Source organism: Homo sapiens, chromosome 12 (assembly GCF_000001405.40).
Source record: "Homo sapiens chromosome 12, GRCh38.p14 Primary Assembly".
NCBI classification, from domain to species: Eukaryota; Metazoa; Chordata; class Mammalia; order Primates; family Hominidae; genus Homo; species Homo sapiens.
In genome coordinates this window covers 29390929-29418540 of record NC_000012.12, presented here as the reverse complement: position 1 = coordinate 29418540, position 27612 = coordinate 29390929, and the positions used below count along the sequence as shown (strand labels likewise).

Genomic DNA, 27612 nt, shown 5'->3' with positions numbered 1-27612 from the left:
CTGAGAAGTGCTACACATACTTCTGAAGTTAAATAATTATTTCAAAACTTCCTTATATTTATGCCACTTTCTCTAAAAGTTGAAGTATCTGTATAAACACATACTTTCATGGGTTTTTAATTGATGGAGGTCTACAGAAGATTTCAAAGAAATTAATTTTTAATTTTGATTCTTTTCCTATGAAGTTACTCCAAATACTTAGGAATTTGAAGCATGAGATGTTCAATTTTCTATACTTTCATGACCTAGTAAAATCCTCTTCTTGCTTAATGGTTACTGAAACTAAAGCTAATGTGAAAACTGGGTGAGGAATTGTTACTCTGGCTCTGTCATGTAGTAGTCATGCAATCTTGGGCAGGTTATTTAGCTTTCCTGTGCCTCAGCTTTATTATTAATAGAAAGGAATAACAGTACCCTGCCCACCTACTTAGCACAGGTGAACATTCAGTGAGAAAACATACTGCGGGAACTGTAACTAAGACTTCTCCACTCTCAAGCCCATGCCTTTCCATGGACACACAGGGGTCTGTAACCAGTTTCTACATTCTTTAACTGTTCCTCTGCCAGTAGCTTCACCTCCCTTTTGCTGTCTTTTCAATGCTTCCATCCTGCAAACCATTAATCATAGCCCATCATTTGCTTTCTGTTCTTTTATAACCAAGTCAGCAAGAACGTTTAGAACAGTGCTTCTTAATCTTGGCTGTACAGTGTAATCTCTGGGTTGCTTAAAACACACACAGACACAGACACACACACACACACACACACACACACACACACTTGTAGGCCAGGTTGCATTTTGGACAAATTAAGTCACAATCTCAGGGATAGAGAGTTGGCATCAGCATTTACCCCCTCCTTATCTTGCTTTATGCATTTGATGTTAATTAAACTTATATTGAAATAATTTTAGATTTACATGCAGTTTAAGAAATAGTACAGGCACCCAATATACTCTTTACCTAGTTTCCCCCACTGATAATATCTTATAGGATATTGATACAATCAAGATATAGAACATTTCTATCAATCACCCCAAGGATTCCTAGTGTTGCCTTTTTTTTTTTTTTTTTTTTTTTTGAGACGGAGTGTTTCTGTCACCCAGGCTGGAGTGCAGTGGCACAATCTTGGCTCACTGCAACCTCTACCTCCAGGGTTCAAGCAATTCTCCTGTCTCAGCCTCCCGAGTAGCTGAGACTACAGGTGCATGCCACCATGCCTGGCTAAGTTTTTGTATTTTTAGTAGAGATGGGGTTTCACCATATTGGTCAGGTTTGTCAGGTTGGTCTCGAACTCCTGACCTCAGGTGATCCACCCGCCTTGGCCTCTCAAAGTGTTGCTCTTTTATAGCAAAACCCACTTCACCCTTTCCCAGATCCCTGGCAACCACTAATCTATTCTCTATTTCTAGAATTTTGTTATTTCAAGAGTATTTAATCAATGGAGCTGCATAGTATGTAACCTTTTGGGATTGACTTTTTCCACTCAGCACAGTCCCCTGGAGATTTATCCAAGTTGTACTGTGCTTGTTCAATAGTTCTTTCCTTTTGATAGTTCATTCCTTTTAATACATGAATAGCATTCCATGGTATGAATGTACCACAGTTTGTTTAATGGTTCTTCTGTCAAAGCATATCTAGGTTGTTTCCAGCTCTGGGCTATTACAAATACAGCTCCTGTGGAAATTTGTGTACAAGTTTTTGTGTGGACATGTGTTTTCATTTTGGTGGGATAAATGTCCAAGAGTGTAATTTCTGGGTTATATGGAAATTGCATGTTTAGTTTTGTAATAAACTAAGCTGTTTTTCCATGGTAGTTTTACCATTTTATATTCCCACCAGCAATGTGTGAGTGACCTAGTTTTTCTGCATCCTCACTAGCATTTGCCATTGTCATTCTTTTTTAAAAAAATGTTAGCCATTCTGATAGGTGTGTAGTGGTAGTGATATCTTATTGTATTTGCCTAATGGCTAATGGTATCTAACAATGTTTCATTTACTTACTTAATATTTTTTAACCTCTTCAGTGACAAGCCCCTTCATATCTTTAGCCTATTTTCCAATTGAATTGTTTTCTTACTGTGCGGAGTTTGAGGATTCTTTATATATTCTAGCCACTAATCCTTTGTCAAATACATGGTTTGCAGATGTTCCTCCCAGTCTTAGCTTGTCTCTTCATCCTCTTAACAGAGTCTTTCACAAGGCAAAACTTTTAATTTAGATGAAGTCCAATTGCTCCGTTCAAAAAAAAAAGCTTCTCCTTTTGGTGTCAAGTCTAAGTATTCTTTGTCCATCCCTAGATTTTTTCCTTTGCTCTTCCTAAAAGTTCTATAGCCTTAGCCTTACACTTTTACATTTAATTTCATGATCCTTTCCAGTTAATTTTTGTATAATGTGTAAGGTTTAGGTTGAAGTTCCTTTCTCTCTTTTTCTCTCTATCCTTTCCTTTTTCCTTTTTTTTTTGCTTTTTTTGTGGTCTAAGGGATAGCCAGTTGCTCTAACACCATCTGTTGAATTGCTTTTGTGCCTTTGCCATAAATAAAGTGAGCATATTTGTGTAGGTTTATTTCTGGGATCTTTTTTTTTGTTGAGCTATGTTTCTATCCTTTCACATACTACTACATATTATTGTACCTACATAGTAGGCTTTATATGGAAAAGTGATTTCTTCCAATTTATTCTTGGTGAAGATTGTTTTAGATATGCTAAGGTCTGTGCTTTCTCGTATAAATTTTAAAATAAGCTTGCTATGTCTACAACAGCCCTTGCTGTGATTTTGATAGAAATTGCATTAAAGCTATAGCTCAGTTTGGGGAGAATTCACATATTTACTATATGAGTCTTCCAATCCATGAACAATATGTCTCTCCACTTATTTAGATCTTCTTTGATTTCCATCTCCAGAATTTTGCAATTTTCAGCATACAGATCTTGTACCTGTTTTGCTAAGTGTATACCTAAGTATTGCATTGTCTTCATTGTGGTTGTAAATGGTATTTTGTTAGGGTTCAACATGAAATGTGATTGACTTCTTTGTGTTGACCTTATATCCTGGTCCTTCCTGAACCTAGCAGTGGTATTTTATAAATTTCTCGTGGAAATTTTAATGTGCAGCCAAGGTTAAGAAGCATTCTTTTAGACAAAGACCAGTGGTGATATTTAGTGCCCTTAAAATCTTGTGGTTTCCAATTTCAATACCATTTAGCAATCCTTGGGTGTATGCCTGCATGATTCTGTCTTCTAATATCCACAGTCGTCATTACAAACGTTCCCCCTTCTTTTCAGCCCTTCTTTCCTTACTTTCTTATCTTGATCCTTTTTCCTGTTCTCCGAGGACTGTGCTTCCTACTTAACACCACCTGATACCAACAGTAACATAAGATTTTGTTTCTCTTCCCTCTAAGAATTTAGTAACTTATCTATAACTGTACCTATTCATTTCTTTCCACTGGGAAGAGTGAGAGATGACTTTTTTCCCATTAAAGACAAGACACTTCCCACCTGTAATTTCCAGCATCATTACCTTTATGTGAATATTTGGGCATACTTCTTTCATGTATTTCCTGTACTAGTCGTTTGTATTTAAGTAGTTGTAATAATATACCTATTGTAAGTTTTATTTTATTGTATATTTTCATTTATGATTGTCAGCATTGCTTCATAATATTAAAGACTTTTAAAATATAATTAATTTTAATGGATACATGGTAGCCTTTCCACAATTCATATGAAAATGGATTGTTTCCTTTTTAAAAAAATTTTAATAATGCTGGATTGACTATCCTTGTATATATATTTTTTTTTTCCAGGTCTAGGATTGCCTTAAAATAAACTTCCCAGAAGTAGAATTGCTAGATTTAGGGTAAAAATATTTTAAAGATTCTTGACATAGTTCTAAATTATAAACATAGTTGGGTGGACTGTAAGTTGATACATCCTTTTTTGTCTTTTCAAAAGTCAGGCAATGTAGCAATAGTTGCTAGTTTTTAAAGTACATGCTTCATGGCCCAGCAATTCTACTTTCCAGGAATAATGGCACAACTGCACAGATTTATTTTCTGGAATGCTTGCTGCAGCTCTTAAGCAAAAAACAGAAAATAGTCTAAATGTTCATCAGTGGGATTTAATCAATTGTGATACATTCATTAACTGAATGATATGAGTTGATGTGATCATAATCTGGTAAATGAAAAAAATCAGAATAAGAAAAGCAGTTGGCAGGCTGGACACTCTTATGCCTGTAATCCCAGCACTTTGGGAGGCTGAGGGGGGTGGATCACCTGAGGTCAGGAGTTCAAGACCAGCCTGGCCAACATGGTGAAACACCATCTATACTAAAAATACAAAAATTAGCAGGGCATAATGGTGGGCTCCTGTAATCCCAGCTACTCGGGAGACTGAGGCAGGAGAATCACTTGAACCTGGAAGGTGGAGGTAGAGGTTGCAGTCAGCCGAGATTGTGCCACTACACTCCAGCCTGGGTGACAGAGCAATACTCCAAAAAAAAAAAAAAAAAAAAAAGAGAGAGAGAGAGGAGAAAAGCCAGCTGCTGGTTAAAAAACATATGTTGGCAGAGGGAAAACGGTTTAGCTCAAGAAAATTTGGCAGAAAGTGAAATGATAGAGCAATGATTATCTGCAAAGGCAGCATAACGTAAAAGATTTGGATGTGCATAGGCAGGTGAGAAGGAAAATAATTTATACTTCAAAGAGTTTATACAATTTTTTTAAGAACAGTAAAAATAAAAGAACAAATCATTGAAATAAATGATCCAGGATAGCAGATAGGCTGAAGCATTAAAGTATGTAAACGTCTAAATCAAAATATAATAAAACAGCATGGGAAAACCAATGTGTGTGTGTGTGTGTGTGTATGTGTGTAATACACACAGACACATACATAAATGCACATTGTTTATATATAAACACATTTTGGTGATAAGATAAAAATGTGAATGTTTAAATACATAATATATCAATATATTTTATGATACATCTGGGAAGAAAGAATAAATATAAAAATATGTATTAGATATAAAAATACTTGAAAAGTTTAAAGTACTGCAAATGTGATTCTTCCCCATTCCTCACATGATGAAGTCAAAGAAGGAAGAGAGTTATATTTTCTCCACTGTCATTTCAGATTCAACAAGGTGATGTCCTAGAGGCACATGGAAAAAGGGCAGATGTATTTTTAAAAAATGATTATGGATGAGAAACCAAGAGCTTCACATCTGAGTGTAGGGCATATGTTCCTATTGTCGTGGGAGGATATGGTAATACCTGGAGCAAACTGGTAACATATAAATTGGGCTGATCCCTTTTGAGTAATAGATAGTATTTTCTGGAAGACTTAATCACAGCATTTAAAAAAGTAATGTTTGCCAGGTGCAGGGCTCACACCTATAATCTCAACACTTTGGGAGGCTGAGGCAAAAGGATCATTTGAGGCCAGGAGTTTGAGACCAGCTCAGGCAAAATGGCAAGATCTCATCTCCAAAAGAAAAAAAAAAAAAAAGAATTAGCTGGATGTGATAGTGCATGCCAGTAGTATTATACTAGTTAGTTAGTAGGCTTAGGAGGAGGCAGGATCATTTGAGCCAGGAGTTAGAGTCTACAGTGAGCTACTACTGCACTACTGCACTCTAGTCTGGATGACAGCGTGAGACTTTGTTTCCAAAAGAGTAGGGGTTACTGTTAAGTCAAAGTAGCTATTTCTAGAGCTGTCACTGAAGAGCAAACAACATAGACAATATTAACATCAATCCTATAGATTAAATGATATTTACCTTTTTCTTTAACGTCCTTTTTAATTAGGAGAGTTTTCACTACTAATCTGGTGCCAGAGGAAGATGATAAAATAAATTGACTTTACATGTATGACTGCTGGATGGGGAACAACTGAACTTCACAGTGAGTATATGTACCACCTCCTCCAATGTTAGAATCCAAACAAATATATGTGACATCTAAGTGTACTCTGTTTGTTCACTTTCAGTTTTTCTCTATTTTTAATACGAATAATGGTGGGAAAAGTCTTTTAAAATAATGGATCTAAAGGTGACTTCCTGGGGAGGAGCCAAGATGGCCGAATAGGAACAGCTCCAGTCTACAGCTCCCAGCGTGAGTGACGCAGAAGACGGGTGATTTCTGCATTTCCATCTGAGGTACCGGGTTCATCTCACTAGGGAGTGCCAGACAGTGGGCGCGGGTCAGTGGGTGCAGCTCACCGTGCGCAGCTCACCGTGCGTGAGCCGAAGCAGAGTGAGGCATTGCCTCACTCGGGAAGTGCAAGGAGTCAGGGAGTTCCCTTTTCTAGTCAAAGAAAGGGGTGAAAGAAGGCACCTGGAAAATCGGGTCACTCCTGCCCAAGTACTGCGCTTTTCCAACGGGCTTAAAAAACGGCGCACCAGGAGATTATATCCCGCACCTGGCTCAGAGGGTCCTACGCCCATGGAGTCTCGCTGATTGCTAGCACAGCAGTCTGAGATCAAACAGCAAGGCGGCAGAGAGGCTGGGGGAGGGGTGCCCGCCATTGCCCAGGCTTGCTTAGGTAAATAAAGCAGCGGGGAAGCTTGAACTGGGTGGAGCCCAACACAGCTCAAGGAGGCCTGCCTGCCTCTGTAGGCTCCACCTCTGGGGGCAGGGCACAGACAAACAAAAAGACAGCAGTAACCTCTGCAGACTGAAATGTCCCTGTCTGGCAGCTTTGAAGAGAGCAGTGGTTCTCCCAGCATGCAGCTGGATATCTGAGAACAGGCAGACTGCCTCCTCAAGTGGGTCCCTGACCTCTGACCCCTGAGCAGCCTAACTAGGAGGCACCCCCCAGTAGGGGCAGACTGACACTTCACACGGCCGGGTACTCCTCTGAGACAAAACTTCCAGAGGAACGATCAGACAGCAGAATTTACGGTTCACGAAAAACCGCTGTTCTGCAAACACCGCTGCTGATACCCAGGCAAACAGGGTCTGGAGTGGACCTCTAGCAAGCTCCAACAGACCTGCAGCTGAGAGTCCTGTCTGTTAGAAGGAAAACTAACAAACGGAAAGGACATCCACACCAAAAACCCATCTGTACATCCCCATCATCAAAGACCAAAAGTAGATAAAACCACAAAGATGGGGAAAAAACAGAGCAGAAAAACTGGAAACTCTAAAAAGCAGAGCACCTCTCCTCCTCCAAAGGAACGCAGTTCCTCACCAGCAATGGAACGAAGCTGGATGGAGAATGACTTTGACGAGTTGAGAGTAGAAGGCTTCAGATGCTCAAACTACGAGCTACAGGAGGAAATTCAAACCAAAGGCAAAGAAGTTAAAAACTTTGAAAAAAATTTAGACGAATGTATAACTAGAATAACCAATACAGAGAATTGCTTAAAGGAGCTGACGGAGCTGAAAGCCAAGGCTCGAGAACTACGGGAAGAATGCAGAAGCCTCAGGAGCTGATGCGATCAACTGGAAGAAAGGGTATCAGCGATGGAAGATGAAATGAATGAAATGAAGTGAGACGGGAAGTTTAGAGAAAAAAGAATAAAAAAAACTAAGCCTCCAAGAAATATGGGACTATGTGAAAAGACCAAATCTATGTCTGATTGGTGTACCTGAAGGTGACGGGGAGAATGGAACCAAGATGGAAAACACTCTGCAGGATATTATCCAGGAGAACTTCCCCAATCTAGCAACGCAGGCCAACATTCAGATTCAGGAAATACAGAGAACACCACAAAGATACTCCTCAAGAAGAGCAACTCCAAGAAACATAATTGTCAGATTCACCAAAGTTGGAATGAAGGAAAAAATGTTAAGGGCAGCCAGAGAGAAAGGTCGGGTTACCCACAAAGGGAAGCCCATCAGACTAACAGATGATCTCTCGGCAGAAACTCTACAAGCCAGAAGAGAGTGGGGGCCAATATTCAACATTCTTAAAGAAAAGAACTTTCAACCCAGAAATTTCATATCCAGCCAAACTAAGCTTCATGAGTGAAGGAGAAATAAAATACTTTACAGACAAGCAAATGCTGACAGATTTTGTCACCACCAGCCCTGACCTAAAAGAGCTCCTGAAGGAAGCACTAAACATGGAAAGGAACAACCGGTATCAGCCGCTGCAAAATCATGCCAAAATGTAAAGACCATCAAGACTAGGAAGAAACTGCATCAACTAACGAGCAAAATAACCAGCTAACATCATAATGACAGGATCAAATTCACACATAAAAATATTAACTTTAAATATAAATGGACTAAATGCTCCAATTAAAAGACAAAGACTGGCAAATTGGATAAAGAGTCAAGACCCATCAGTGTGCTGTATTCAGGAAACCCATCTCACACGCAGAGACACACATAGGCTCAAAAATAAAGGGATGGAGGAAGATCTACCAAGCAAATGGAAAACAAAAAAAGGCAGGGGTTGCAATCCTAGTCTCTGATAAAACAGACTTTAAACCAACAAAGATCAAAAGAGACAAAAAAGGCCATTACATAATGGTAAAGGGATCAATTCAACAAGAAGAGCTAATTGCCCTAAATATATACGCACCCAATACAGGAGCACCCAGATTCATAAAGCAAGTCCTGAGTGACCTACAAAGAAACTTAGACTCCCACACACCAATAATGGGAGACTTTAACACCCCACTGTCAACAGTAGACAGATCGATGAGACAGAAAGTTGACAAGGATACCCAGGAATTGAACTCAGCTCTGCACCAAGCAGACCTCATAGACATCTACAGAACTCTCCACCCCAAATCAACAGAATATACATTTTTTTCAGCACCACACCACACCTATTCCAAAATTGACAACATAATTGGAAGTAAAGCTCTCCTCAGCAAATGTAAAGGAACAGAAATTATAACAAACTCTCTCTCAGACCACAGTGCAATCAAACTAGAACTCAGGATTAAGAAACTCACTCAAAACCACTCAACTACAGAGAAACTGAACAACCTGCTCCTGAATGACTACTGGGTACATAACGAAATGAAGGCAGAAATAAAGATGTTCTCTGAAACCAATGAGAACAAAGACACAACATACCAGAATCTCTGGGACACATTCAAAGCAGTGTGTAGAGGGAAATTTATAGCACTAAATGCCCACAAGAGAAAGCAGGAAAGATCCAAAATTGACACCCTAACATCACAATTAAAAGAACTAGAAAAGTAAGAGCAAATACATTCAAAAGCTAGCAGAAGGCAAGAAATAACTAAAAATAGAGCAGAACTGAAGGAAATAGAAACACAAAAAACCCTTCAAAACATTAATGAATCCAGGAGCTGGTTTTTTGAAAGGATCAACAAATTTGATAGACCGCTAGCAAGACTAATAAAGAAAAAAGAGAGAAGAATCAAATAGACGCAATAAAAAATGATAAAGGGGATATCACCACGGATCCCACAGAAATACAAACTACCATCAGAGATTACTACAAACACCTCTACGCAAATAAACTAGAAAATTTAGAAGAAATGGATAAATTCCTCGACACATACACTCTCCCAAGACTAAACCAGGAAGAAGTTGAATCTCTGAATAGACCAATAACAGGAGCTGAAATTGTGGCAATAATCAATAGCTTACCAACCAAAAAGAGTCCAGGACCAGATGGATTCACAGCCAAATTCTACTGGAGGTACAAGGAGGAACTGGTACCATTCCTTCTGAAACTATTCCAATCAATAGAAAAAGAGGGAATCCTCCCTAACTCATGTTATGAGGCCAGCATCATCCTGATACCAAAGCCTGGCAGAGACACAACAAAAAAAGAGAATTTTAGACCAATATCCTTGATGAACATTGATGCAAAAATCCTCAATAAAATACTGGCAAACCGAATCCAGCAGCACATCAAAAAGCTTATCCACCATGATCAAGTGGGCTTCATCCCTGGGATGCAAGGCTGGTTCAATATATGCAAATCAATAAATGTAATCCAGCATATAAACAGAACCAAAGACAAAAACCACATGATTATCTCAATAGATGCAGAAAAGGCCTTTGACAAAATTCAACAACCCTTCATGCTAAAAACTCTCAATAAATTAGGTATTGATGGGATGTATCTCAAAATAATAAGAGCTATCTATGACAAACCCACAGCCAATATCATACTGAATGGGCAAAAACTGGAAGCATTCCCTTTGAAAACTGGCACAAGACAGGGATGTCCTCTCTCACCACTCCTATTCAACACAGTGTTGGAAGTTCTGGCCAGGGCAATTAGGTAGGAGAAGGAAATAAAGGGTATTCAATTAGGAAAAGAGGAAGTCAAATTGTCCCTGTTTGCAGACAACATGATTGTATATCTAGAAAACCCCATTGTCTCAGCCCAAAATCTCCTTAAGCTGATAAGCAACTTCAGCAAAGTCTCAGGATACAAAATCAATGTACAAAAATCACAAGCATTCTTATACACCAATAACAGACAAACAGAGAGCCAAATCATGAGTGAACTCCCATTCACAACTGCTTTAAAGAGAATAAAATACCTAGGAATCCAACTTACAAGGGATGTGAAGGACCTCTTCAAGGAGAACTACAAACCACTGCTCAAGGAAATAAAAGAGGATACAAACAAATGGAAGAACATTCCATGCTCATGGGTAGGAAGAATCAATATCTTGAAAATGGCCACACTGCCCAAGGTAATTTATAGATTCAATGCCATCCCCATCAAGCTACTAATGACTTTCTTCACAGAATTGGAAAAAACTACTTTAAAGTTCATATGGAACCAAAAAAGAGCCCGCATAGCCAAGTCAATCCTAAACCAAAAGAACAAAGCTGGAGGCATCACACTACCTGACTTCAAACTATACTACAAGGCTACAGTAACCAAAACAGCATGGTACTGGCACCAAAACAGAGATAGAGACCAATGGAACAGAACAGAGCCCTCAGAAACAATGCTGCATATCTACAACTATCTGATCTTTGACAAACCTGACAAAAACAAGCAATGGGGAACGGATTCCCTATTTAATAAATGGTGCTGGGAAAACTGGCTAGCCATATGGAGAAAGCTGAAACTGGATCCCTTCCTTACACCTTATACAAAAATTAATTCAAGATGGATTAAAGACTTACACATTAGAGCTAAAACCATAAAAACCCTAGAAGAAAACCTAGGCAATACCATTCAGTACATAGGCATGGGCAAGGACTTCATGTCTGAAACACCAAAAGCAATGGCAACAAAAGCCAAAATTGACGAATGGGATCTAATTAAACTAAAGAGCTTCTGCACAGCGAAAGAAACTACCATCAGAGTGAACAGGCAACCCACAAAATGGGAGAAAATTTTCGCAACCTACTCATCTGACAAAGGGCTAATATCCAGAATCTACAATGAACTCAAACAAATTTACAAGAAAAAAACAAACAACCCCATCAAGAAGTGGGCGAAGGACATGAACAGACACTTCTCAAAAGAAGACATTTATGCAGCCAAAAAACACATGAAAAAATACTCATCATCACTGGCCATCAGAGAAACGCAAATCAAAACCACAACGAGATACCATCTCACACCAGTTAGAATGGCAATCATTAAAAAGTCAGGAAACAACAGGTGCTGGAGAGGATGTGGAGAAATAGGAACACTTTTACACTGTTGGTGGGACTGTAAACTAGTTCAACCATTGTGGAAGTCAGTGTGGCGATTCCTCAGGGATCTAGAACTAGAAATACCATTTGACCCAGCCATCCCATTACTGGGTATATACCCAAAGGACTATAAATCATGCTGCTATAAAGACACATGCACACGTATGTTTATTGCGGCACTATTCACAATAGCAAAGACTTGGAACCAACCCAAATGTCCAACAATGATAGACTGGATTAAGAAAATGTGGCACATATACACCATGGAATACTATGCAGCCATAAAAAATGATGAGTTCATGTCCTTTGTAGGGACATGGATGAAACTGGAAATCATCATTCTCAGTAAACTATCACAAGAACAAAAAACCAAACACCGTATATTCTCACTCATAGGTGGGAACTGAACAATGAGAACATATGGACACAGGAAGGGGAACATCACACTCTGGGGACTGTTGTGGGGTTGGAGGGGAGGGATAGCATTGGGAGATATACCTAATGCTAGATGACAAGTTAGTGGGTGCAGCGCAGCAGCATGGCACATGTATACGTATGTAATTAACCTGCACATTGTGCACATGTACCCTAAAACTTAAAGTATAATAATAAAAATAAATAAATAAATAAAATAAAGGTGACTTCCTGGGTTTTAGGTCATTATATTCATGAATACCAGTTTATTGATACTTATAAAAACATGTATTGAAGAATATCTAGTGATTTTATTACCTAATATTTGTAAGTCTCATTTCTATGTAATTACTCTCCAATTGTACTCTAAACATACACAAACTCAGACACACATACACAATTGTTTTTATAACAGTGAAAACTCATACTTGAAGGTATCAGCCAATTTCTAATGATGTGAGGCATTTTTCTGAAATGATGGATTGGTATGAATGGTAAATGGGTGGAAAAGATTATGTGAAAATAACTAGCCCATGTGAAGGTCAACCCATGAGTTTGGTTTCACTCCTACTGTATTGTACAACTGAGTTAACAAGTTACAAATATCCAATAGACTAGAGTAAATCAGAATGTCGTTTCCATTGTCAACCTCTAAACATTATGTTTATTCGGCAAAGTCAAGTCAAAAGAATGAGATCACAATGAAACCAAGGGAATCAAGTATAGGCTTAACATTTAAAAATGAATTGTACTGATTGCATCATCAAAAACTGATTTGGTTCTAAACTTTTTCCTTCTATGAAGTGATATTATTTTTCTCTCATCCTAGAACCGTAGTGAAGATAAAAAGAATCCATACAAAATAGTTTTTGGAGTTTCTGTTGTATAAGCTAAAGTAGAATAATATTAGGTCTTTACAAATCACCTAACAACATCATTACAGCGTCAGAGAGAAAAATGGTGGGATTTACCCCTAAGAGTCTGCAATCCGTGTTTTAGCCTTTAAAAGCATTTGCCTAGGTTTATATGTATTTTTATTCTTTTTGTGCTAGAGGATGAATTTTCTAACATGGTATAACAGGCAAAGGTACCTCTTGGCAAAGCTACCAGGGTATGGATATTTAAAAACACCAATATATTCAGAAGAGCTGCAGGATCATCTTCCTGCATGGTAATTCAAGGATTGCATTGATGAGTCTGGGAGTTTTCTTTTTAGTATGTCTCACAAACTGGCATTTGCTGATTCATAAAGAGGTATAGATGCATGGTAGTTTTAAAAAGAAAGGCAAGAAGAATAAATACATTGTTAAGTTACCTTAAAAACAAATGAACCGTAATTAGTAATTTGATAGTTGAAGTGAACTCAGTTCTCAAAAGGAATTAGTCAATACTTGGATGAATTATGTGTAATTGCTGATATTCAATGGTTTTTGACCTACAAACATGATCATTTCTTTTGTTTTTTTTTTTTTTTTTTTTTTTTTTTTTTTTTTTGAGGTGGAGTGTTGCACTATCTCCTGGGCTGGAGTACAATGGTGCCATCTCAGCTCACTGCAACCTCCGCCTCCTGGGTTCACGTGATTCTCCTGCCTCAGCGTCCCGAGTAGCTGGAATTACAGGCACACACCACCACACCCAGCTAATTTTTTGCATTTTTAGTAGCAACGGGGTTTCCCTATGTTGGCCAGACTGGTCTCGAACTTCTGACCTCGTGGTTCGCCTGCCTCAGCCTCCCAAAGTGCTGGAATTACAGGCGTGACCCACCGCGCCCGGCTGATCATTTCTTATGATTCAGCTGCATAGCTGAATTAGGTGGCTTAATGCACCTACTTCTAGTAACACTGAAAACATAAAGGAGTTTTCATGTCACTGAAAACCATCACCTGGCCATTTATATAGATGCTTGAAAGTTTCTTCATGGCAGAGTCTACAGTCAGCATTAAGTGAATTTACACTAACTTATCTTTCAGTCTCTCCTTGAAGGTATAGATTTTAATCCAGTTCAGAGATCTGTTGCATCAGCCCACTACCTGAGTGGCCATAGTTTTCTATTAGGTTGTGAGCAGAAATCAGCGAGATAAAGAGAACAACCTGTGCCCTGCCTGACCATCCTCTGCAGTTGGGGTTAATGTCGGCCAGGAATCAGGCATTTGGGAGAACTTCTCTTTTTGCTGGTTGCAGGGAGATTCTGGAAGACCACCGCAATGTGCCCGGCATGGGAAGTACAAGCTTGTTGACATTGTGAGCTGAGGCAGCAGTCACTGCCATCCCACTGCACCACCTTCACAAGAATTTCTGCCTGCAGGGATTGGATCACATCTGCCACTAGAGGAGAAGTGAGATCACTGAAAGAGCAGTGTGGTACAACTGTGATTACAAATGGGAAAAGAAATGCATAACAGTACACCTGAAAAATGAATGTCTTTTCAGTGCTGAAATATTCAGTGTCACTTCCGCCCATCATTATCATTGCAGAGGTTGGTGTTGGTGTGTTTGTACATTCAATATTAAACATTGGTCACAGAAAGTTAATGTTGTTTCATGCCTCCTGGGAACTTACAGTTTGAATCATTCAATTCATATCTTGCATACCATGTGTATGCTGTATATTTTGAATACCATTATATACAATTGTACTGTTTTTTTCTACTTTGGCAAACACTGGAAGATCAGAAGGGCAATATTATTAAATCCATATAATTCTTAACTTTACTCACAGGGATACAGGCCAGAAACTGCTGTGAGCACAAATAGATAGGAAAGGTCCCTGCCAGTTTCACAATTGTGATGAGCAGTGGACATTTAAGAGATTATTTATCAGGCACGTCAATTGACCTTAACATTTTAGGATATTTCATTTGTTTATAAGGTATTTAATTTATCTGAGACTCAGGTTGTCTCAATCCCCCTACCCCTCTAAGCTGTAGCCAAGAATCAGGGAGGAACTGAGGAAGGTCCCTGAGCCAGAAGTCTAGATGCCAAAGTCTGTCACAGAAATCTGCAATATAAAATGAATAGGAGCCTGAGGCAACTTTTTTTTCTTATTTTACACATTGCACCAAAATGTATCATTTGGTTTCTAAGAATGCAGCATTCCAAAAGGGCGTATGGTTCAGCTTTAGGTAAACACATTGATTATCAAATGACACAGCAATTCATAAGGAAATAGAAAATTTACATATATATATTCAAACAACTTTGAAAAGCATAATATTCAGGATTTCTTTCCTATAGAACTCAATATTGTGATTAAATTATAAAAGTTTGAATTATTAAGCTGCCATTTCTGTAGATTAAAAAGTTTGAAAATTAGCTACTTTATATGATTCAGCCTAATAATTGTAATTACAATAATACATCAAGATGTTAGCTTTAGTACATCCACATTATGAAAATTTTGCTCTTCAAAATTAAAGTCAAAAAGCTTATATACTTAAATTAGGAATCCTTAACTCTCGAACAAAATGGTATGTTTCCCAAATATTTCTGTCTGTATTTAAGGCTGGAGGTAACTGAGGCTTCATTGAAACTGGTTAATAATCTTTGTCTAATGAACCTTGATTTAAAAGTTGGAAGTCAAATATGAGCACAAAATATTTCTGTAATGGTATTAGAAAATAAAACTTCCCTCTTTTCTCACTCTCTTTCTCTTTTAACCTCTCTTCCTTTCCTTCAACCTCTTTTCTCTCTCTTCCCCACCTCCTGTTCCCTTTTACATTCCCCCTCCCTAACCCCATCTCTCTGGACTTCTTACACTCTTTCAACTTCTCAATCCATCTCTCCCTTTTCACCTCTGTTAATCACTTTTTCTTTCTCAATCCCTCTACTTTTTTTTCAATTAACAACCTCCCTCTTCTCCTTTCTTTTCTCCCTCTCCCCAATCTCTTATACTCTTCCAAATTCTCATCCTCCTTCCCTCTCTCAATCCTTCTTTCTCAATGCCCTCCATCTTTCTCTTTCAACCAACCTCCCTTCCCCTTCCCTTTCCTTTTCTTACCAACCTTTTCTGTCTTTCTCTTTTCCCTCTTTCTCTCAACCCTCTGCCCAACTCCTCTCTTTTTCTCTCAACCTTTCCTTTCCTTTGCAAATGCTACAATGAGAAAGTATTATAAATGTCCTAGTATTTACTAAAAACCCTCACATGAATATTGGTCTAAAGGTTCTGCTTTCATTAAGTTATACTTTTGGATAGGAACACTGAGGAAAAATGAAAGATGAGATTTGCAATAGGGATTCTCTAATTCTCATGTTAATCTGTTTTGTACCATTTTTACTTTGTCTTTTGTGGATCTCTTCTTTTTATTAGATGATATTAAAGGGGATTAAAGTTGTATTGTATGAAATGTCAGGCCTGTCTAAAGCTTTTTTTTTCTTTTTTTTCCCCTCACACTTTGATCTGCTGGCCATTAATTTTGTTGCTGACACAATCGCTATTGTGACTTCCCTGGGTGGTGATTTGGGTGTAGTAGGGGCCAAGTCTGAAGGTTTACTGAAAAATGGACCCTAAAAGGCAGATTAATTGCAGAAATGTCATACAAATTTGTTTAACATGTATACACATGAGACGATACAGGAGAAATTGTCCATTTTTATGCTTAGTACAGAGAGCCATGTAGAGATATGATTTGACAAAAAGTGTATGATTTAATGCTGGCAGACTGAGTGGGGAAACCCAGTGAGGCTTGTCTGTCTCTATTCTCTTGGCTCTCTAAGCATGCATTTTTTCCTACTGGTATGAGGCAGTTCTCTCTCTGAAATGGGGGTCTGATGACCTACAGTCAAACAAGGTAAGTCAGATAATTTCTTTATGGCAAGTTTTTACACAGAAAGGCTGGAGCAGCAGGAAGTTAGAGTAATATTTTTAGGTTTTATGGCTGACTTTGGCAAAATGGGTTCTGATTTCTATGACCTACCCTGGGGAAGAGGGATCCTAGTTTCTATGGCTATCTATGGGGGAGAATGGGACTGAAAAATTGGAGAGCAGGACAAGGTCAGGAAATGTTTGCTTCTGAGGCCTTCATTTTGGGGCATTGTTTTCTGAGCCCCTAGAGGATGATGCTCTCAAGGTCCTTCAGCAAAGGGTGCAAGGTTAGCACCCCCTGTTTGACCCAGAGTAGCCACCTGATTTCCCTAAGAGAGTCACAGGCTATTTGGTGTTCTGTTTTTGGCTTCTGTTTGGCTATAATTTTAGAGTTCTTCCATATTCAATCTTTAATAGGACCTACTGTGTTAGAGCTGTTTTACTTTTCCTCTAGTTGAAAGCCAATTTAATTGAGGAGGGCGCATAAGCTTTCTTTCTTTCTTTGGCCTTCTTTCCAAGAACCACTCTCTCTTTTGTAATTCTTTTTTTTTTTTTTTTTTTTTTGAGACAGAGTCTTGCCCTGTCGCCCAGGCTGGAGTGCAATGGCATGATCTCAGCTCACTGCAACCTCCGCCTCCTGGGTTCAAACGATTCTCCTGCCTCAGCCTCCTGAGTAGCTGGGGTTACAGGCACCCGCTACTATGCCCAGCTAATTTTGTATTTTTAGTAGAGATGGGGTTTCTCCATGTTGGCCAGGCTGGTCTCGAACTCCTGACCTCGTGATCTGTCCACCTCAGCCTCCCAAAGTGAGCCACCATGCCTGGCTCCGTTTTGTGTTTCAATGTGAAGCTCTCTATGTATTTCGTTGCCATCAACTGTGTAAATTTATCTATGATGTAAGGGTTACATGGCCAAATTTAAAGAACTTAGAGAACTCATAACCTGATTTTTATTCATGTATTTTTAAAAATCCTTCTTGACCACCTACTGTGTGCCAGACAGAGACACCTAGAAAGAGAAAGCTTTCATCTGTAGAATCTCATTATAATAGAGAAAAACAATACATGAAGATAACTACTATTCAACATGCTATAGAAGCCAGCAGCCTAGGCAGGAACAACTACTGTTTTCTGCAGGAATAAGTGAATGTAATATTTGAGCTGAGTTTTAAGGTTTAAATAATAGTTGACTTGGTTTAGTTTAGTATTTATGTTTTATACACCATCTCTTATGTAACAAGCTATTTCCCTATCAACAACTCCACATAGTGTGAGTTTCTCCTGTCACATGGATCATTGGAAAATTTTTTTGTTCATTCTTAAGTCATAAATTACATTACTTCATTTCCTCTAACCCTTCACCTTTTCTTTCTGATATGTGTTTCAATGATGTAGTGCCAACATTTCACACTTTCCTTGTCAATTTAACAAACAGTCAACAACTTAAGTCTAGTAAGTATCTTATTCTCGCTGAAGATTAACAATGTTGGCCCATCTCTTGATTGCATCTTTGTCTCAACTTTATTATTCATAATATTAGCACTTGTGTTTTTCTATTTCCCACTGGTATGTATGAGAGTAAATTTTAACCAAATTATTAAATAATGGCAACAAAAACAACTGCTAGGTCCAAAGTTACTAAGAAACTCTGACAGAGGCAGAAGAAAATAGAAGGATTATAATAAAAGAAAGTAAAACTACAGTGATTAAGAAAGGGTGGGGCTGGGCATGGTGGCTCACACCTGTAATCTCAGCGCTTTGGGAGACCGAGGCAGGTGGATCACGAGGTCAGGAGATCGAGACCATCCTGGCTAGGACGGTGAAACCCCGTCTCTACTAAAAATACAAAAATTTAGCCGGGAGTGGTTGTGGGCCCCTGTAGTCCCAGCTACTTGGGAGGCTGAGGTGGGAGAATGGCGCGAACCCGGGAGGTGGAGCTTGCAGTGAGCGGAGATCGTGCCACTGCACTCCAGCCTGGCTGACAGAGCAAGACTCTGTCTCAAAAAAAAAAAAAAAAAAAAGAAAAAAAAGAAAGGGTGGTATTGCTGCAGAGAAAAATAAACAGACCAATAAAACAATACCGAAGGAGTCAGCAATGCCATTTTAATTGTTTAACTTGGCAAACAAAATGCATAGGGTGACAATATCAACAGATAATGAGAATATGGAGTAAGAGGAACTCTTCTCACTGCTGGTGGGAAAGTATAATTAGGTACTCCAGCTTTGGAAAACTCAGACAATATCAGTAAAGTTGAAAATAACAGTGTCTTCTCAGTCAACAAGTTCATCTCTAGGTATATACCCTACAGCATTGTCTTCAGCCATGGATAAAATCAAATGTATGTATCTGGGGCATGAAGAATAATTTAACAAACTCCTTATGTGATTCTAATATGCAGCCAGGTTTGAGACCTGTGTCCCACAGGAAAGTGATGTAACCGTGGACCATTGGATATGTACAGGCATGTTTACAGAAACACCAACAAAAAGTTGGAATTACAAATGTCTATTACAGGAGATGGTATAAACAAAATAGTATAATGCTTGCATGGCAGTAAAATACAACAGTCCACAGGCTCTTTAGTGAATCTTAGAAACAATGTTGAGTTTAAAAACCAACAACGTTGAGTTTAAAAACCAAGTTTAGAAAATTAGGCACCACATGAAGCTCAGAAACAGGTAAAATTAAATCGTTTGTTTAGGTTTAAAAAGGCAAGGCAATGCTATCACACCAGAGCTGTGGGGAGGTAGTGGAATAAGCTGGAAGAGTCACACAGGAGCCATTGCAATGCTATCCACTTCTAGTTACGCTGGATGGTGGTCTCACAGATATTTATTATCTTGTTCCATAATTTACATATATTTGCAAATATAAAATACTACACGATATGAAATACTTAAAGCCCCTTTTAACAACACTAGCTCCTCAGGTTGGAAACTGTTCTCCTCCTGTCTAGGTATTTAGAAGTTCCTCAGTAAGCCCTTACATTCTTTTCAGTTCCCTATGCCTAGAAAGCCCACAGTGTCACTGTGACTTGTGGTTACTGATGTCATTTGTAACAATGAGCCTAGTTGTTAACATTAGCAGTTACACTTTCTACCATCTACTTTCTTGTATGAGAAAACAGTTTTAAATGTGTTTGTATGTCTTCCAGGAGTGAGATATTACTTGACCTTTCCATTTAGCTCATTTATTCATTAAAACTAATCTCATTCAAATATTTTGAATATGCCGTTAATAACCTTGGGACACAGGGATTATGAGTATTGGGTTCTGAAGTCAGAGTCCTTGGGTTCAGATCCCAGTTCCACCATTAAGTAGTGTTATAACTTTGGGAAAATTAGCCTCATTGTACTTCTGTTTCTTCATCTATAAAGTGGAGGTAATACATCTACTCATAGGGATATTCTGAAGATAAAGGAGTTTCTACATTTAAATCACATAAATGATAGTTGGCACCTAGTAAACTTCCAATAAATTGTATCTATTATCTTATGTATTTTCCTAAAATGAAGCTTTTAAAGAGGTTCTTCTTCCCGTTTGAGTCCTTTAAAATGTTTCTGAACAAAAAAAAAAAAAAATAGTTAAGGCTGGACGCGGTGGCTCATGCTTATAATCCCGGGCGAGGTGGCTCACCCTTATAATCCCAGCACTTTGGGAGGCCGACGCGGGTGGATCACTTGGGGTCAGGAGTTCGAGACCAGCCTGGCTAACATGGTGAAACCCTGTTTCTACTAAAAATCAAAAGTTAGCCTGGCGTGGTGGTAGGTGCCTGTAATCCCACCTACTCAGGAGGCTGAGGCAGGAGAGTGGCTTGCACCTGGGAGGCAGAGGTTGCAGTGAGCTGAGATCATGCCACTGCACTCCAGCCTGGGAAACAGAGTGAGACTGCGTCTCAATTTAAAAAAAAAAAAGTTAAAAAATCTTTACAAAATATAAATGTGCCACAAAATTATGTCAAGTGAAAGAAGCCTACAAATATTGATTCCACTTAAATGTATAAAAAGAAAAATTTACAAAGAAAGCAGAATAGTAATTACTTAGGGTTTCAGTGAGAGCAGGAAATAAAATGGGGGTGATAGAAATGTTCTAAATTTGAATTATGGTGACTGCATAACTATAAATTTACTAAAAATCATTGAATTGAAGACTTACAATGGGAGAATCTTATAGGTATGAAATTTATTAATCAGTAAAGGTTTTTAAAGGAATAGGTATAGAATTTTTACTTAGTTTCACTCTAACAGAAGTTTTTATTAACATGAGTAACTTCTGATTAGACTATGATATTTGAAGGTAGTCAAAACCTGGCAATAAACCTGTATGGGAAGCAGAGGCTGTGTCTGTCTTATGTTACTTGGAGAAAGATTTATTGTAATATATTAAGCTTTGCTATACAAGCATATAGTATTTCTTTCCAATTCTTTCTTATGTCTCCAATTTTTACAAAATAATTGTTCTCATAATTCCAATTAAGGATTTAATTGGGGAGTGAGGATCTTCCATTTGGCTATCCCATAGCTTTCAATGTGCCGACTACTTTACAAATATTAATTCCAAGCACAACTGTATGAGAAAGTCATTATCATTTTTATTTTACCAATGAGGAGATAGAAGCTCAGAGAGGTTGAGTGACTTGTTTGATATCAAACAGCTGGTTTCAGAGCAGAATTAGCACATAGGTTTGTTTGACTGCTGATGTTAGTCACCATACCACGCTGCTGATAAAAGTTCTCAGAGGATGACACAGGAAACAAAGTATGGAGTTTTGACTGGGGAGACAGGACTAGAGGCATGCAAAGATTGTAATTGGGCGGGGTTCATTCACACACTTAAAACATGTGAATGAAAATGTACGGAGGTAAAAATAAGATGTGTATGTAACAAGGAGATTCTGTTTTCAGAGAGCTTTAAAATTGTACAAATTTCCTTGACTCCATTAAGAACTGGCTGCTGATGGCTGGTTAACTCTTTAACTGACTACAATAGCTTGAAGGATTTAGGAGGTAATTCTCTTACCTAAACTAAGTCTAGCTGCCGGAAATTTAGGGCTGGTAGACAGTTCTACATTATCCAGAGGGCCTAAGGCTTTTTCTGTCTTTCTCCTCCACCATCTTCAATGTATGAGTTCAATTCTCAAATCATAAAATTGCTACTGGGCTCAAGTCATCACATCATATTCCAAGCAGGGAGAAGAGGAAGGTCAAGGAGAAAAGGGGACAAATGGCTTTGCCAAGTCTGGGAATCCCAAGTTCTTCATTTGGGTTTAATCTCTAGGATTCTGGTGTTCAAAAAAGAGAGGAGAGTTTTTTTTATATGCAACCAGAAGTCTCTACCACATTTCTAATTATTATATCTTGCTTTTTTTTTTTTTTTTTTAATTTGAGACAGAGTTTCACTCTTCTTGCCCAGGCTGGAGTACAACGGCGTCATCTCAGCTCGCTGCAGTCCCAACCTCCCGGGTTCAAGCAATTCTCCTGCCTCAGCCTCCTGAGTAGCTGGGATTACAGGCATCCACCACCACGCCCAGCTAATTTTTGTATTTTTAATAGAGATGGTGTTTTGCCATGTTGACCAGGCTAGTCTTGAACTCCTGACCTCAGGTGATATGCCCGCCTCGGCCTCCCAAAGTGCTGGGATTACAGGCATGAGCCACCGTGCCTGGCCATACCTTGCTTTTAATTTTACTTTTGTCATCTATTCTAGAAATAAAAGAAGAAATAGTGTTAATTAAAAACAATATCATAGTTGTATAAAGGAAAAAGGATAATTATGTCACTGCTGTCCTTTTTCCATTTCTTCCAGTTAACATTGTATAACAATAATAGCAGTTTCAATTATGAGATAGGCCTAGAAAGTGGAGGGGAGAAAAGTATCAAGAAAACAAATTAGGACAATTTCCTAGAACCAAAGGACATGAGTTGCCATACCAAGGAGCCATTTGATGCCCAGCACAACAATGAAGACAGACCCATGTCAGAGACATTGTAAAACTTAAGAACACCAGGGACAAAGTTGTACAAAATTCCAGAGGAAAAGAAATCTCATCTTATGGGGCAGGAATCTCAGTGACTTTATACTTTGCATCAGGAATGTTTGAAGCAAAAAGATACATTGCCATGTGGGCCTCTCCACTGGACTTAAGTGTGCTTACGCTAGAACAGCTGGATTTCCACAAGAGATGACCCAGGGGAGGGCAAGCAGAAGCCACAATGTTATTTATGGCCTTTGCTAGCACTAGCACCTTTTAAACTTTAACAATCTTTTTAATTCTTCCCAAACAAATCACAGTTCAATGGAATTAAGCCTACTTGCTTAGCATATAGACAAAAAGAAAAATGTAGAAAAGGTACTAATTTCCTAGCCTCATATTTTTCCATAACTTGCCCCAGAATGGAAGATTCTAATGGTTTCCTATGTGTAACTTAAATTAAGCACGGACTTGGCTTATGATAGGCATGATATTAGTGGCTTCTCCTGATGAAGGCTCAGCTGTCCTCGCCTACTGTTATGAGAGGGACAAAGGGGATCAAATGTGTTACAGAGTATCACCATTGTAAGATAAATGTGATACCAAAGCTGAAGTCCCAATCTGTGTAAAGGACTCAGATCTTTAATGGGGTTCCCCCAACCTAACTACCCTCCATTAGAGGAAAATCAATTTCTGACCAAATCTACTCTCCCAAAGTCTAGTTCATGAAAAAGTGTATGTAAGGCAAGGGGGAATGTCTATCTCTCACTAGCTTCTTTCCCTTCAAGACCCAGAGAGAGACGGGGAACTTCATGTTTGCTGTCTCAATATTTATCTTTTACTTTGAAAAACAACTTTAGAAAAAAAGCATATGTGTCAAGTTAGGTCCTGTAAATAGTAACAGTATGGTATATATTTATTCATAATTTTTAGTCAAAATGTTTGACCTCTGAGGGCCTATTATTTATGTTATTTAGCTGCTTGTGTATTTTTTTACAAGATATAAAAATTGCTTTTGGGACATATCACATGTCTGGGATGGAAATTATTTCACTTTTTTAGTTCAACACTGAAGTTAGATTTTTTTTTCAGCCTTTTAAAATAACCTTTATTTTTTAAAAGTTAATATGTCCATTATAGGAAACCAAAAAACACAAGAAGCAAAGAACAAAGTCATTCACAATCACAAGCAGTTTATAGTTTGACATATGCTTCTAGATCCTGTGAGTAGGCACAACATCCAATTTCATGGGACTGAGATTGTACAGTATGTATCATGATTTTTCACACATCATGAATATTTACCAATTCAAAATCCCAAAGCTATATGAGTATTTTGATAACCAAGAATACACTACACCAACTCAAACTGCTAAAAAAAAAAAAAAAAAGTAATCCTGCCTTTCTTGGGACAAACATCTCATAGAAGACAAAAATGGCAACACGCCTCTAGATAAAAGCATTGGCAGAGTTCCGATTTAAATGCTGCATTCCCTTAATGCTCAATTTAAAATGAAACACACAGCAACAGAATACACTAAGTATGTTTTTAAGAGAATGCATTAGCAGAGCTACACCATTAAAATATTAGCAAAGTGTATTTCCCTTGAATTACTTAATGTGTTCTTATAGTACAGCCAAAAGAGATGCATACATCAATGGCTATCAAAATGTAAATATGGACATATATGGACACATCTGCATACATCTCTGCCTGTATAATTCCTTCTGCCCCTCTGCTGCCAACCTAATGAACAAGTCCTGACATATACTGCTCAGAGGTGGCTTAACAATTCCATGTCCAAGATGCATCTTTTCTATCAATTATATTTACAAATAGGCTAATTACATAATTTGTAATTATATTACAAATAGGCTAGGTATTTACAAATAGGCTAATTAACTAGCTCTAGTTTTTATCGTAAGTTGTCACCCCATTCGTAAAGCTTAGATGTTGCAAAACAATAACTTTGTCCACAATGAACAGAGGCACTTTATTAAAAATGCTCATATAGACCTGTGGTTATCATCTAAAACCATCGTCTAGATATGGAGATACTAGCAAAGAGCCCTTCCCTTCACCCTTCCTCTTCTCCCTCTTCCACCATCCCAGTGACTAAGTATAGGATGTCTAGCTCCAAGAGGTGGACTAATAAAGGTCACTCCCAGAAGACAGGCCTTCCTAAAAACTAACAAAAGGACATTCACAAAGGGACTGATTTACTACATCTATTTTTAACATACTTTGAGCATTAAGACTTATCCTTTAATACACAATATTAACTAAAATGCACATATAGAACAATGTTTAGACCATCTGAACTAATCTCAGGAGCACAGAACCCTTCTCCCTGCATACCTCCTCTGCCCACCCCCGCTTCCCCCGCCCCAACCACCTAATGAATAGTCTGCATTCGCTCCTAAGCATCACCTTTTAACAATTCCATTCCCAAATGCAACCACTCCTAGGAAGTACTGAAAACAAATGCTTAGAGGGGTGTTACTTAAGCCCTCTACTTTTAACCTACATTGTGCACTTTTTTTTTTTGAAACGGAGTCTCGCTCTGTCGCCAGGCTGGAGTGCAGTGGTGCGATCTCGGCTCACTGCAACCTCCACCTCCCAAGTTCAAGCGATTCTCCTGCCTCAGCCTCCCGAGTAACTGGGGCTACAGGTGGACACCACCACGACCAGCTAATTTTTGTATTTTTAATAGAGATGGGGTTTCACTATGTTGGCCAAGATGGTCTCGATCTCTTGACCCCGTGATCCGCCTGCCTCGGCCTCCCAAAGTGCTGGGATTACAGGTATGAGCCACTGCAACAGGCCGTTGTACACTTTTAAACACCTAGAAAGACTAGATGTTTCAAACTGGACTTAAGTTTTTCATTATATACACAGTAGCATTGAATAAATGGTATACATACATAACACAGACTGTAATTTGAGTGTCTTCTAAATAGGAACATTCTGGCCTAGAACCCTTCCCTTTCCCACCTCTACCAACCCCGTGGACAGCTATAAGCCATCTGTAATGCTTAGGGGGGATTTTAACAATCTCACTTCTGTTTTTAAGAAGTCTTTCCTATGAATTTTAACACAAAGTGTACTCAATGTAGTAGTTTACTAATTCTACTTTTGTCATATACTGGCAACCTTTTTAACGTCGACTGGATGTAAATTAGGACTCCTTTGTCCACTTATATACACTATATACACAGCACAGTAAATGAAAATGCAGACATAAGGGACAATGGTCAATGTGCCTCCTCATAAACACACTGGACACTGGTAGAAAGCCCTTTGCACTTTGTGCTCCTCCTTCCCCCTGAACCAGCACAAATATCAAAATGTGTACTGCTCAGAGAATTGATCAATTTCCAAGACAATATTTCATATCAAAAGGATAGCTACAAAATGTGTTATTTACTACCTCTACTTTTAACATACTTTGTGCACTTCTAAACATCTAGAAAGACTAGATGTTTCAAATAAGGACTTAAGTTTGTCCGCTATATACACAGTAGTGTTGAATAAACTACACACATGTAACAATGGGTATATCTGAAAGTGTCTTCTAAATAGGAACATTCTGGTCTAGAACCCTTCATTCCTTCCAACTCCTCTCCACCACCAACCTGGTGGATATAGGCACGTGTCACTTAGAGCTGATGTTATCTCACTTCCAAAAGTCCTTTTCACAAGACAGCTTTTCTACAAATTTTAACAAAGTGTACAAAATGTGTTAGTTTACTAACTCTACTTCTGTCATACATTGGCAACCTCTTTAGTATCTAGAGACTAGATATTATAAAATCGGGACTCATTTGTCCATTATATACACAGTATAGCAAAGTTAAATGAAATGCATGTAACATATAGGCAATGGATTAAGCTGAAATTTGTTAATAAACAATGTCAAAACACCATTTGCAATTTCTTCCCTCCCACCTCCCAGGTGGTTCAACAATTCCACTTCCAAACAGCATTTCCCATCAGTTTTTAAAAGCTATTTACAAAGTGTTATTCTACTACCACTTTTAAATACATCAAGCACTTCCAAATATCTAGAAAGACTAGATATTTCATATAACTTGTCCACCACGTACACAGCACTGTTAAATAAAATTGCACACACATAACAATGGTTATCATCTGAGGTATCTTCTAAATGTGGCCATTTTGGCCTTGAATCATTCCCCCCTCCCTTCCTTCTCTGCCTTCAATCCAGTGGACAAGTACAGGCACATGTAATGCTTAGAGATGGTTGACCAAATTCCTATGCAAAAGTCATTTACAGAAGACAAGTTTTCGTATGAATTTCAACACAAAGAGTACAAAATATGCTAATTTTACTACATTGTCATACACTGGCAACCTCTTTAACATCTAGAGACTAGATGTTGAAAAATTAGGACTATTTGTCCATTATATACACTATATACAGAGCAAAACAAAATGCACAAAACATATAGAAAAATGGTGTCTGAAAACGTCCAAGTATGAACACACTAGTATATTACCTTTTGCAATTTCTTCCCTCCCACTTCCTCTAAACCATTGAACAAGTATAGACATTACTATACTGCTCACAAAGGTGGCTTCACAATTCAATTTCCAGAAGTATTTCCTATGAATTTTAGCAAAAAGATATTTACAAAGTGGTATTTTACTACCTCTACATTTAACATACATTGGGCACTTCTAAACATCTAGATAGACTAGATGTTTCAAGTAAGGAGTTAATTTGTCTACTATGTATACAGCAGTCTTGAATAAACTGCAAACATGTAAAAACAGTTATAATTTGAAAGAGT

General features: G+C 38.3%; 1 protein-coding gene and 1 long non-coding RNA gene across 5 annotated transcripts in view; one reads left to right on the top strand and one right to left on the bottom strand.

Moving 5' to 3' along the window:
- OVCH1 (ovochymase 1) overlaps positions 1 to 16373 on the top strand; it is a 95519-nt gene extending 79146 nt beyond the window's left edge. For both annotated transcript variants that reach the window (XM_024448968.2, XM_047428780.1), the window contains 3 exons: positions 5816 to 5911; positions 5997 to 6165; positions 14207 to 16373. The gene's annotated coding sequence lies outside the window, so the exon portion shown is untranslated. The remainder of the gene's footprint in view (positions 1 to 5815; positions 5912 to 5996; positions 6166 to 14206) is intronic.
- Positions 1 to 27612, bottom strand: part of OVCH1-AS1 (OVCH1 antisense RNA 1) — a 98031-nt gene that overhangs the window by 68784 nt on the left and 1635 nt on the right. The window lies entirely within an intron of this gene.